The 13,893-nt window shown below is 42.6% G+C and overlaps 1 protein-coding gene across 4 annotated transcripts in view, besides 4 other annotated features; it reads left to right on the top strand.

Moving 5' to 3' along the window:
- CHST11 (carbohydrate sulfotransferase 11) overlaps window positions 1-13,893 on the top strand; it is a 305,067-nt gene that overhangs the window by 11,159 nt on the left and 280,015 nt on the right. The window lies entirely within an intron of this gene.
- Window positions 5,328-5,467: an enhancer, noted in NCBI's record as "active region_6915". NCBI's record gives its function as "activates an Ori minimal core promoter by ATAC-STARR-seq in GM12878 lymphoblastoid cells {active_cell/tissue: GM12878}" and the evidence as "EXISTENCE:reporter gene assay evidence [ECO:0000049][PMID:35858748]".
- Window positions 5,328-5,593: a biological region, named in NCBI's record as "ATAC-STARR-seq lymphoblastoid active region 6915".
- Window positions 5,424-5,593: an enhancer, noted in NCBI's record as "experimental_23914 CRE fragment used in MPRA reporter constructs". NCBI's record gives its function as "activates a minimal promoter by MPRAs in K562 erythroleukemia cells, with activity observed for the introgressed 12:104867393 variant allele {active_cell/tissue: K562}" and the evidence as "EXISTENCE:reporter gene assay evidence [ECO:0000049][PMID:34662402]".
- Window positions 10,615-10,664: an enhancer, noted in NCBI's record as "active region_6916". NCBI's record gives its function as "activates an Ori minimal core promoter by ATAC-STARR-seq in GM12878 lymphoblastoid cells {active_cell/tissue: GM12878}" and the evidence as "EXISTENCE:reporter gene assay evidence [ECO:0000049][PMID:35858748]".

The following is a 13,893-nucleotide window of genomic DNA, read 5'->3' on the forward strand; positions in this document are numbered from 1 at the left end:
AGGTGACAAATGCTACGGGAGGCGGGGAAGCAAGGAAGGGGGATGTGAAGTGGCAGTGGTGGGGGGATTGAAATTTTAAATAGGATTGTCAGGGAAGTTCTCTCTGCAAAGGTCGCTTTAAAGATTGAAGGAGATGAGGGTAGATGGGAGATGAACCAATGAAATAGTAAAGATATTTATTGGATATTATTTACCGAAGGCCAACTTGGGTCAGGCATTGAATATAGATTACTCCCCCATGGGACTCGTATAATGTATACGCTATAATTACCACCATTTTACAAGGGGGGAAACTGAAGCATAGAGCATTATCACTTGTCTAAGGTCCCCAGGAGAGGAATGGATGGAATAAAAACCAAACCCGGCTGTATGACTTCATATCCGCTGCTCTGAACATCTGGGAGGGCTCTCATTTGGGCATTACTCTTCCCATCCACCCTAAAGATTGGCGAGAATGATTGCAGTTTAGTGATAGACATTCTGCGAAGGGTGGGACCTTTCTGCCCATCAAAGAATCATTCTGCCCAAATGCCACCAATGCCCCTCCTTGAGAAACAGCTCAAAACTCTATGTGTAAACAGCATCTGGCGTAGTACTTGGCTGCATCCCATGACTTGGGCAAGTGCCTGGCAAGTGTAGGGGCTTAATAATTGATTGAATGAGTGACTGAGTGAAAGTCGCAGACAAGAGATTTGGTCCCCTCATTTGCCAAGTGAAGGTAGTAATGTTACCTCTTTTATGGGTGGCGGTGGTAAAGATTAAATGAGAAGTTAGATGTGAAAATGCATTGGGAATGGATGTAAACCTATGTAACAAAACTGCATGTCCTGCACATGTATCCTGGAACTTAAAATTAAATAAAATTAAATTTTAAGAAAAGAAAAAATGAATGTAAAAGCAGTATAAACATGTTGTTGTTATGATAAATTACCTGTGTGGTTCCTCGTTCAAGGATGTGAATCTCCATGTCAACAAGATGCTGTTCTATTTAATTCTGTTTGAAACCTGAGCAAGTTTTTATCCTTTTAACATGTGCGTCCTACACTGTAAGATTTACTGAAAGGATCTGACTTCTATAAGTGTGAGGCTCCTGTGAATATCTTCTCTCTGTATGTGCTCACCCTCTGTCTGCCGTACTAACAGGCATACCCGCTGCCAAGGCCAAAACTGTGTAGCAATTTGCAAAGCAGAGTTTATATTTGGTCAGAAATCAGCCTTGTGTTTTTTTGCTGAATGCAGTGACCGCAGCATTTCCTCCCAATTATGCACTTAATTACTCCTCAGGTTCCCATTAGCTTTAACTAGTGACACTTGGGAAATAACAGGCACTGGTCAATGCCATTTCTGAAGCTGAACTCCGAGGAGGATGAAAAGCAGTCATTTCAGAAAAATAACAGTGGTAGCATGGCAGCCTGTATGTGAGCAGTTGTTGGGTGGGTTAGCATGGCTCATTGCACAGGACAGCATCAATTGGCCCTATGTCTCCACATTGGGCTTGTTCTGTGCTGAGGAGGACTTTAAGGGCTCTTCCTGTATAGGGGTCAGTCCTTCCCACTGCTTAACTGCAGGTGTCATGGAGCTTGCTCTGTGGCTGGCATTTGTAGCTGGGGCACAGACCCATTTCCTCCCTTCTTCACCAGACCAGGTGCTGAAATTTAGTTCAAAGACTCCATAACCCTGATCTGGGCTAGGCCCGGCATTCTTCAACCTGAGGCCAGGCTCACATTTGAAATAGTCCCTGTTAGGCTGCAGAGTTATCATAGAGGAAGGGGAGCATATTTGTCAGGGCTCACATTTCTTTACAAGTTGAAAAAGTTTCTATCTTTTTAAGCACCCAGACCTCTTTCCATTCCACCTAATCATTGATTTAGACTATTTGTTTGCAACTGGTTTGGGACCTCCTTCTTCCCCCATAGGGGACAGGTGGCAATGTCTGGAGACATTTTGGGTTGTCATTAACTGGGGAAGGTGTGCTACTGGCATTTAGTGAGTGGAGGCCAGGGATGCTGTTAAACATCCTACAATGGATAGGATAGACTTCCCCACAACAAAGAATAGGCCAGCTCAAAATATCAATAGTCGGGAAACCCTGTATTAGTCTGTTCTTATGCTGCTGTGAAGAAATACCTCAGACTGGGTAATTTATAAAGGAAAGAGGTTTAATTGACTCACAGTTCTGCATGGCTGGGGAGGCCTCAGGAAACTTAAAATCATGGCAGAAGGCACCTCTTCACAGGGCAGCAGGAGAGAGAATGTGTGCAAGCAGGGGAAATACCAGACACTGATAAAGCCATCAGATCTCATGAGACTCACTCACTATCATGAGAACAGCATGGGGGAAACCACCCCCATGATCCAACTAACTCCACTTGGTCCTGCCCTTGACACATGGGGATTATTGCAATTCAAGGTGAGATTTGGATGGGGACACAGTCAAACCATATCAAACCCTTATTTGATTCAACATTTTTCTGATGCTTTATGAAAAAAACCAGTAACAACAATGACCACTTACCAAATACTTGCTCTGTATCAAACAGTATGTCAGCTGCTGTATTTGGATTATCCATCCTATTTAATCCCCACCACAACCTTGTGAGATGCACATTTACCAATCCCATTATACAGGTGAGGAAACTGAGGCTTAGAGAGGTGAAGGAGCCTGCCTAATCGGAAAGCTGGAACAGGATCCTGGCTCAGGTCTAACTGACAGCAAACACTGTACTCTTCACCTCACTAGTATGCCCATCTCCATGTTCTTGGTTTCAGATAATTAGGTCAAGAAGTAATTATTTCATAAAGGCCTTAAGCTCAGCTGTAAACTCTGTAAGTGGGACATTCAATGATAGCCCCTTCTCTTCTTACCCTACACGCTATCCCTGGTGAGCTCATCCTCTCTTGGGGCCTGGGGTATCATCTGTGTTTAGATGACGCTCATGTCTTTCTTCAACTTGGATGTGACCTTGGGTCGAAGTCTAGTTCATGTATTACCTCTTGTGTTACCATCCATCCCCTCTTGGTCAGAATGAGGGGATAGATGTCCTTCCTGTCATCCCTGTGGTACTTTGTGTGTGTACATCTCTAATATTACTCATTCTGATACATTGACTCCTTCAGGGAAGGGGCCATGTCTTGTTTAGCACAATATCCCAACATCTCCAATAGAGCCTGGTACATAATGGTCACTCAGTAACTATTTGCTAAAAGAAGGAATACACTGATGGTAATTGGTCACTAAGAAGAAAATCCCCCTTTTTGGGATAGCGGGTATGGAATTTTCAATGCTGATTTGATTTTCATTTTGATTCTATGGTGAGCTGTCACTTAAGAGAGCCAAGAACAACCCCTTTTATACCATGGCTAAATGTGAACAGCCAAAAAGTGAACAACTGTCAAAGTTGTAGGAATTGCATCACTGTAACCACAAAGGTAATTAAATGTGTCCCAGAAAGGGATCTGCTAATTTGGTTTGCAACGGGAGGGTCTGAGACAAGACTTCTGTAGAGCAACACTGTCCAGTGGAAATACACTGCTGCTGCACACAGAACTAAATCTTCCGGTAGCCATTTTTACATTGAAAAAAGTGAAAAGAAACAGGTGAGATTAATACCTGAAATATTGCAACAGGTACTCAATATTAAAACTCACTGCAATATTTTACATATTTTTGGTACTAAGTCTCCAGAAATCCAATGTGTATTTTTACAGGACATCTAAATTCAGGCTAGCTGCATTTCAAATGCTTACTAGCCATACGTGACTAGGGCTACTGTAATGTATAGTGTAGCTCTAAAGTGTTAGAGAACCTTTTCTACATTGAACTAGGGCTTTTTTTGGTCTCCCCTCACCCTAATTTAAAAAAAAAATTTATGGTGACAGAATCTTGCTCTGTCACCCAGGCTGGAATGCAGTGGCATGATCATAGTTCACTGCAACTTTGACCTCCTGGGCTCAAGGAATTCTCCTCAGCCTCCCAAGTAGCTGGGACTACAGGTGTGCACCATCACACTTAGCTAATTTTTGATTTTTTTTTTCTTTTTTTTTTTTTTGTAGAGACAGGGTCTAGTTATGTTGCCCAGGCTGGTCTCAAATGCCTGGGCTCAAGGGATCTTGCCTCAGCCTCCTGAAGTACTGGGAGTACAGGCGTGAGCCATTGCGCCCGCCCCTTCCATTTTCTTAAGGGGATGTTGTCTTTCCTGGGTTTTAGCTATACCCTTTGGGAATAATATTGATTATCTTAAGGCTCAACATGTTAAATACAAGATATTGGCTGCAAAGTTTTATACACACACACACACACACACACCCCTCTAAAGTCATTTCAGGCCTCTAAGGTATCTTCAGAGTCTTCTAGTTAATCAGTCGCTATCTGAAGCTTGATTGTGCTATTGAGATCTTGACACAGTCTGCCATGTAGCAAGAGCAACTGTTACTAGCTCCATTCTACAGATGAGGCAATGGAGACTCAGAAGGATTTAGGGAATTGCTTAAATTTTGTTTCAAATGGTTCTAATACCAACGTTTAGCTGCAAAGTCTGGCCCAAGGAACATTCATTCTATTAGGGTGGATGTAAACACACATACTTCACTGTCTTATGGGGCCAGATGCGATTGCTGTTACAAAGAGAGACAAACTGTGAAGGAAAGGGAGAGGAGGGTGATTGATTTTGGTGGTGGTGGTGATGGTGGTGGTTGTGGTGGTGGTGGTGGAAGGAAACCTTCCAGGGAAAGTTGAGGTTGGCACCGGGCTCTGAAGGATGAGTAGAAATTTGCTGGCGGAATCTGGGAAGGGAGAGGAAAGACATTCCAGGTGAGGACGCCTGCCAGAGCAGGGAGTGGGGCAGTGAGGAGAGTGATGTCTGGGAATACGGGAGCCCAGGGGTGGAGAGGTGAACCTGGATGGCTCTGAATGCTCTAAAGTTTGAGTTTTATTCTTGGTACCAGGGAGCCACAGAAGGTTTAGTGTCTCCTGTTTTTCAGATGATGAAATTTAAGCTGAATTTAAACTCTCTTGTTTCATTAGAAAGGCAGTAGTTTCAAACTCACTTTCTCAAAATGAACTCGGGGCCATTTGGAAATCGTTTCTATTATCATCATTTAATGGGAGGTAAGATTATTCATGAACGACTAAAGTGCAAAGTAAGAAAGAGCTTAAAGGCACTCTGTAGTGGGATTTGAAACTCCTCTGTTTTGCATTGCTCGGGCCAAAATTATAGGCCATGGAGGTTAAATTTCAGTCTCTCAGTTGCTAATGGTGCCCTAGCTTCACCCTCAGAGGGCTCTGGAAGCAGTGGCAGGAGAAAGGGAAAGTGTGTAAATAGTCGCAGGGAAGAGAGTTTCTTGCTTCAGTGGGAGCTCATGGGTGTATCCGGGTCAGGCTGCAGCTGTTGGGCTGCCCTAGAGATGAGCAGTGAAGGATGGAGAACAAAGTCTGCTGCTTCCTCCTGGAAGCGAGACCCAAGTTCACTGTGTGTGGGGTCTGAGTGCATTGTACCCCTGAAAGATGCCGCCCTGTGTCCTCTTTAAATCAAAAGACTGCCTCTTTTTTTAGGCTCCCCTTCCTGGGCTGTGGGAGAGGGCATGGGGCTATTGTAGAGCTCATACACAATGTAAAAAGGCATCTCTCTGTGGCTTTCACAGTCACTTCTGGGGGCCATTGTGCTTGGTACAAAGCTGAGGGCTGCCTGTATTTTCTCTGCTAGACTGTAGCACTTGACGCCTGTCGATGAATAATTGAGAGCTGGTTTTCTCATAGGGGCATCTCACCACCTTTGATCCCCTTTATTTTCCGTTAAAACATCACCATCATCACCACCACCACCACCACCACCACCGCGACCACTACAACCACGACAGGGAGAACTCTTCCAAAGGCTTAATTGAAAAAGAAACTAATATAATGTAATCACAGATATGCAGCGTGTTTTAAAGGGGGCATGTGGACAGGCAAGCTAAAAGGGTTTCTGGATTTACACTTGCAAACTTATAAAGATTTAGGGATTAGAGATTGGAAGGTCTAATTGAGGTAGTACTTATTATTGGAAGCCTATGCAAAGGTATTGGAATGGGGATTATTTTGCAATTGGAAGAATTAGTGAAATCCTTTAAGAGCGAAGGTTTCATTATATATAGGGTTTTCTGTATAATTTTGCTATTCAAAAATGGAAGTGCAGGTTTGAGATCAGAAACTGAACAGGCAATCTTTTAGTTAATTGTAATAAAACAGCTTTCTTTGGGAGAGTGTGAGCCATCATCCGAACGACAATTATGTGCTTAAAAATATTAACTCGGAATAGTGGCCTTGCTCACTTTAGGATAATCCATTGCATTCAGGAGGGGAGCAGCTCAGGGCTCTTTCTTGGGACTCTGCAGAGAATTCTTTCAAGGCTTATGCTGACTTTGTTTCCTGTGCCTGTAAAAGCAAAATGAGATTTTTAAAAATAAATCCAGGGCTGATAGTAAGTGCCTTCCTGCAAATGAGATTTGAGGGATGTGCAGGATGTTGTCATTGGAAAGTCACAGCAACATTCCTTTTTTATTTTCATGGGAAATAAACAAGGAATGGATTAGGAACACAGAGGTCATTGCTGAGTGTTCGATCTGTTATAAAACTCCAACAAAGTAGAAAGGGCATTGGGTGGGCATTGGGTGGGGCATCAGGGATCTTGGGTTCTTGTCCCAGTTCTTCTGCCCCCTTTGGGGACCCCACATGTGTTACTAACAATGTAGATGTTGGCAGTTTTCAAACTACTCCTCTAAGCCGAAGCATGGGGGAAGGTCCTTGGACGGCGGTAGGGGGTCCCAGTAAACCCCACCCCCATCAGAGTGGCTCCTTGCTTATCTGTTTCATATTTTTGGGTTCTGAGTAAAATTTTGTTAGAATTAAGTATTTCAGGGCTAAAACCAACAATTTTGCAGTTGACTACTTAGACTATTTAGACTATTTCTAAGGTCTCTTCCCAACTCAGATCTGATGCTATTAGCAGTTCTCAAAATCAATACACATTTACATGAGGGTTAAATCATAATTAAAATGAATAATTACTGTTCATGCAGTATGAACTGTCTGACATCTCTCCACCCCTCCATCCAGCACTCAAACATTTATTGACCAAATATTTATCTGAGCAAAGAGACAAATCTAAATAAGACTTAGTTCCTGCCTACAAATAACTTGCAATTTAGCAAGTGGTGACAGACCCATAATTGTTAGCTGTAATGCTTTATAATAATGGCTGTGGGTGGCTAGGAAAAAAAAAAGAGTAATTAGTTTAGGGGAGGTCAGGGAACTTGACAGAGGAAGGAACATTTGAGCTGGGCTCTGGTCATTTGTTCAGTTATTTAACAAGCATTTGTTGAATGGCTACTGTTTGTGCCAGGACTGTTCCTGTGCTAGGGAAACAGCAGGGGACAAAACAGACAATGATCCCTATCTTAATAGAGCTCACGTTCTTGGCATAAAATTTATCAAGGGGCAAGGTTGGTGGCCCCACTGGCTCCTTCACCATCATCTCCCTCCCCTGCCCTATGATGCCTCAGAGTAAAGCAGCATTATATATATATATATATATATATATATATATATTTCTGATTATGAAATTAATTCAAGTGTATTATAGAGAATTTTGAAAAAAGGAACTTACTTCCAAAAAAAGTTACCCCAATCCCTGCCATATATATGCATATATATATGTATTTATATGTATATATCCATGGAAAAATAGACCAGAAGGTCAAGAGATTTTTCCTGGGTGGCAGGGATTAGGGATGAATTTTTTTGAAAGTAGGTCCCATATATATATATATGACTTTTTTTTAGAAGCGGGTCCCTTATATTATATATATTTACAAAGATATATTTTAAAAAGTTATCCCTCATATATTATTATAAATGTATACATTTATAAATAAATATATTATAATATATACATATATGTAATACTTGTAATATATAATTACATATATGTAGTTATATATGTATAAATTATAATTATATATAAATATAAATAATAATATATAATATAATATATTATATATTATAATAAATATATAAATAAATAGAATTATAATTATAAAAATTATAATAAACACATGCAAAAACAATATTACATATATGTTATATGTAATAGCATATGTTACACATATATGTAATATATGTAATATGTACACATGTAGTATATACACATATGTGAATAATATATACATATGTTATACACACATATAATATATACACATATATGTAAGATATGTAATATATGTGTGTATATATATTTACAAAGATGAAATCGTCAGGCTTACAGTGTATTTTGCTTTTTCCATGTAGCACCGAATCATGGGCATTTTCTCATGTCATTCAGTTTTCTCTGACAACACTGTAATATTCCATCAGATGGATGTATTTTCATTTTGCCATTCTCCTTTGTTGAATATTTTTGAGAAAGATTTTCCCTTTTAAAAAAATGCCGTTTTTTTTGTAAACTAAACTTTTGTCTGAGTTTCTTAATGTCCCTTTCAGATAAAATTTCAGAGGGGCAATTCAGAGGTTATAAACCTTTGAAGGCTCTTGATAAGTGTAACCAAATTATTTTCTAGAAGATTGTATCTATTGATGCTCCAACCAGCAGTGTGTGAATATGTCCATCTTACTATATCCCAGCTCCTTTGATTAAGCTGTCATCCAGATTCCTGATGGAGCCTTCCTCTATCTCAACATTCATGCTTGCATTGAGTTTTTGGTCCATACTAGATTATAGGCTTCTGGAGGCCACAAACTGTGTCCCCAGTCCCTGGCGTATGACAGACTTGTAATAAAATAAATGTTTGTTGCATACATGCTTGCATGTCTGAATGAATGAGCCAAGGAAGGTAAGGAGAGGTTTCACTTGATCTGGGAAGAGAACAGAACTTTCTTCAGATGTCACAAAGTATCTTATTAATGGGCTTCCAGGGATAGGGGGATTCATGAATGGACAAGTAGCTTGCTGTAAAGCCACCTCCATACCCTCAGTGCCTGTCCAAGAGTCCTATAATAGATCATCCTTAGGATTCAAATTCAATGAAAAGATACATTTTCACTGCTACTCACTAGGTACCCATTACAGGTGTTAAATCATTTAGTCTTCTCCACAGCCTGGCGAGGAGAACTGGCCTCATCCTCATTTTTAGGTGGGACTCAGAGAAGTTTTGTAATTAACTTAAAGTAACCCAGCTAGTAGTTGGTGGAGCTCGGATGCCCTGGCTCATCTGACTCAAAGTGCTCTAATAAGAACTTCTCTCTGCAAAGCGTGGGCTGGCATCTGCGAGAAAAATTTCTTTTTGTGATTTAGGAGGAAAAACATATGGAGAAACCCTATTGTCTGAATGCTGCGTCTCTCCCTAATTCATGTGTTGAAACCTAATCCCCAATATGAGGCTCTTAGAAGGTGGTGGTCTTTGGGACGTGATTAGGTCATGAGGGAGCCCTCATGAATGGGATTAGTGCCCTTATAAAAGAGACCCCAGAGAGACCCTCACCTCTTGTGCCATGGGAGGACACAGTGAGAACCAGGAAGTGGGACCTTTCCAGACACCAAATCTGCCAGTGCCTCGATCTTGGACTTTCCAGCCTCCAGAACTGTTTGAGCAATAAATTTCTGTAGTTTACAAGCCACCTAGTGCAGGATATTTTGATATAGCAGTCCAAATGGACTAAGACAAGGAACGATCCTTGAGCTGAAAGGAAAATGAACAATTGCTCTGCAGTTGGAAAGACACAATGATAGCTCTAGGAGGCATTGTGCACTCAATTGTCCTCAACTGATTGGAGAAAGGAATTCAGTTATGAGGAAGTTCATTTAGTGAGAAGGTCTAAGAGCTCTTCACATGTCTCCTATGACTCTAAGAAGGGTGATGGCTGGCAGCACCCTGAGAATGAAGCCTCTCCAGGGAGCTGTGTGTTGATGGGGCTCTCAAGTTTGGGAAGCAACCCCCCTAACAGGAAGTGGGGGTGGGAGACAGGGAGAGAAAAACCAAAGCAAACCCATAACTCAAACTGTATCTTTCTTCTTGCAAAAGTGAAAGACATTGCTGATCGTTACACACACACACACAAACACACACGGCAGATGGAGCTTCCTGTGTAGTATTTCTGTTACTTATATCTCCAGAAGGAAGGCCTGGGTATATTTTAATTTTATTATTTTCTTTTCTTAAACATTAAAAAAATGATTTCCACTAGCCCATACCAGAGACCCCAAAATACACTGTAAGTAAAAATGTGATGTTTGCCACGTGAATGCAGTGCCAGCACCTCTCTTCCACCAGGTCCACGTCCCTAAGCCTTTTTATATCTGAATTCTGGAGTCTCCACTGACCCCTTCCCCATAGTCTCTTTTATGTACACCCTGACTTCCCAGCAGCAGAGTGCCGAGATGGAAGCGGATGAGGGGAAGTGAGAATAAGTCTAAAATAGCTGTCTATTAGGTTTCCTGTTAAGTAGGATGTGGTCAGTTAGCTTCGGTTATCTGTAAGTCTAGTTCAGGCTGTTCCTGTTAACAGCTGAGTATTCACGGGGCCCCAGAGCATGGAGGTGCTTGCCTGGGAAGGAAAGCAATTATCAGAAATGTTGGGGCCCAGTCACTACCTTGAGGAAAACCGGTGGGATTTAGCCTTTTGGGAAATAAAGGTGGTGTTCCCTGTGGCCATCAGCAGCAGTGGCAGGCAATTTCAAGAGCTTCAGGAGGTGACTGGAACCATCTAGTCTCTGGTCATTTGGGGGATGAGATGACATGGTTTGGTTCTTAACACATAGTGGGAGAGGCAGTGAACTGGTGCCTTCATTCTAGGGGGTTATTGAAAAGGAGGTTTTTAAAACTGGAAATGACAACATGGAAGGAGCCTTTAAACAGTGCATGTCCAAGGCATGTCCAAGGAAAAGCCGTTTTCAAAAGAGTCACCTGTCTTTACTTGGCATTTCCAAACTTGCCTCAGATATCTTTCTGAGGGACTCTTAACGTATTGGTAGAAATTGGATGCAACTCCTTCCTTTCCCAACCCAACTCAAATTGGTTTAAGCAAAAAAAAAGGGCCCCCCCTTTTTTTTGGCTCAGGGAACTGAGCCAAACTCAGTGTGGCAGAGACCAAGCACCCTAGCATGTGATTGTTCATGCTGTGTCTGTCTCCTCATGGTGGCAAGATGGCTGCCTGCGGTTCCAGCCTCCATCCTAGCCTTTCAGCAGTCCCAGTAGAAAGAGAGAGTACTTCTTTTTTCCAGCAGTTTCCACAAAAGTTCTGGAATGTAAAGTTCTTAAGGGCAGGGATTTTTATATTTTGTTTACTGTCATCCCCAGCTCCTAGAACGGTGCCTGTCCTACAGCAAGTGTTCAGTAAAAATCTGTTGAGTGAGCAAATCTCATTGGTGTGGCCGGGATCACATGCCCAGTTTGAGAGTAAGGTTGGGAGTGAGAGAAAGAAAACTGGAGATGCTCTTATCCAAGACAGGCATCAGATCTTGTTTTTCTGATGAATAACAACCAAGAGAGGCAAGAGGTAAAAAATATATAATTAGATTTTAAAAAGTCTTGCACTCTTAGGTAGTAGGTAGTATGCTAGGAAGTTTTTTGCCACTAGGAAAACCTATTTGGACTGAAAATGGCCGCATGAACTTTTGATTCTGTTTACCTCCTGTTGCTAGAAGACAAATGTGTTCCTATGGCTTGAAGAAGCCACAGGACATATTTTTCTCATGTATGCATGCCACTTGTTGAAGATGGCTCACCACCATGTCTGCCTTCCTGCCAGTGGGAAGAGGGAGAGAGGTCCAGCGGAGGGCATTCCCCTTGGATCCATCACTTTTGCTTAAATCTCACTTAGCTCCAGCCATTTATGTCTGTGGGGGAGGCTGGGAAAGGTAGTCTTCATTCCGTGTGGTCATGTGCTAAACTTGTGTTTTCTTTATTCTAAAGGAAGACAGAGAATGGATATTGGGGGTCAACCAGGAGTTCTGCTGCAAAAGGTTCTATACTTTAGTTGGTCAGTGCTCTGAGCCCCTGTTGAATTCAGGCCTATCTTTCATAAACATCTGCTTAGTCAGTGCACTGAGTTGATAGTGTCCCCGCCCCCCCCTCCAAATTCATGTTCTTCCTGGAACCTCAGAATGTGACTTGACTTGGAAATAGGGGCATTGCAAATATAGTTAGTTAAGATGAAGTCAACCAGGTGCAGTGGCTCCCACCTGTAATCCCAGCACTTTGGGAGGCTGAGGTGGGTGGATCACGAGGTCAGGAGTTTGAGACCAGCCTGGCCAAGATGGTGAAACCCCGTCTCTACTAAAAAATACAAAAAATTAGCTGGGCATGGTGGCGGGTGCCTGTAATCCCAGCTACTCAGGAGGCTGAGGCAGGAGAATTGCTTAAACCTGGGAGGCGGAGGTTGCAGTGAGCTGAGATCGTGCCACTGCACCCCAGCCTGGGCTACAGAGCAAGATTCCATCTCAAAAAAAAAAAAAAAAAAAAGATGAAGTCATATTAGAGGACAGTGTGCCCTTAATCCAATATGACTAGCGTCCTTATTATAAGAGGAGAAGAGACACAGAAACACACATAAGACCGTGTGATAATGGAGGCAGAGACTGGATTGATGCTGCCATGAGCCAAGGAATGCCAGGAGCCACCAGAAGCTGGAAGAAACAAGAAAGGATCCTTCTCTAGAGGCCTCAGAGAGGGCATGGATGGGCCTGCCAACATCTTGATTTTGGACTTGTGGTCTCCAGAACCATGAAGGAATACATTTCTATTGTATTAAGCCACCAAGTTTGTGGCACTTTGTTATAGCAGTCCTGGGAAAATACTGCAGTCTGAAGGAACACATTTCTTGCCTTGACCCAGTAGGGATTCTTTCCAGTTGGAGTCAGGGGATGTGGCTTCTTAGCTTCACCCCTGTGCCGGGATGTGACTCAGCAGAGGTCACTTAACCTCTCTGTGCCGTACTTTCCAGCTATGAAATGGGAAGAGAGCTGCCTTTCTGCTCTGCTGTAACACTGCAAAGGTACAGCCTTTCATGACTTCTCATTGCACCCAGAAGAGAAACCCAAATCCTTAGCCTGACTTCAAGGTCCCGCCTCACTGAGGCCTGCCTGGTCCCACTTCCTTGTTCCCCTGCCCAGCTGGACTTGCGCCACTCTGCCTTCTTTCAGTGCCTTATGAGCACCACACTCTTGCCACGTCACGAATTTTGCACTTGCCGTTCCCTGTGCTTGGCGTGCTTTTCCTTCAGGTCCCGTTTAATGTTGCTTCCTCGTATTGGCCTTCCCAGTTGGGTGCGCTGGAATAAGTTATCACTTAAAAAAAGTAATCTACTGTCATACTTTACAATTTTTAGAATTTGGCCCAGCTTTTTAAGCCACTGAAAGAAATGGTTTCAAAAACCAAACCTGGGTGCAGTCACCTGAGCCCACTGTTCCAGCTGGTGGCTTCCTTCTGTAGGGAGCGGTCATGGATTCTCTCACGCGTCGATGGGGGGCAACGATATCAGATATGGCAAAGATTGGCTAAGAAAGGGAAGGCATTTTTGGAGAGGGCTTTGGGGTTTCTGATACCTAAATGTCTCATCCAAGTGAACAGAGTATTTACTCGTCTATGACTTGAAAAAAGAATATCTTTTTGATGTTATTGTAAATAGGACTGTTTCCTTCCTTCTTTCCTTCCTTCCTTCCTTCCTTCCTCTCTCCCTCCCTCCGTCCCTCTTTTCCTTCCTTTCTCTTGCATTTTTTTTTTTTGGAGTTTTGTTCTTGTTGCCCAGGCTGGAGTGCAATGGTATGATCTTGGCTCACTGCAGCCTCCACCTCCCATGTTCAAGCAATTCTCCTGCCTCAGCCTCCCGAGTAGCTGGGATTACAGGAACCCGCCACAATGCCTG

This window comes from Homo sapiens, chromosome 12 (assembly GCF_000001405.40).
Source record: "Homo sapiens chromosome 12, GRCh38.p14 Primary Assembly".
Taxonomy (NCBI): Eukaryota; Metazoa; Chordata; class Mammalia; order Primates; family Hominidae; genus Homo; species Homo sapiens.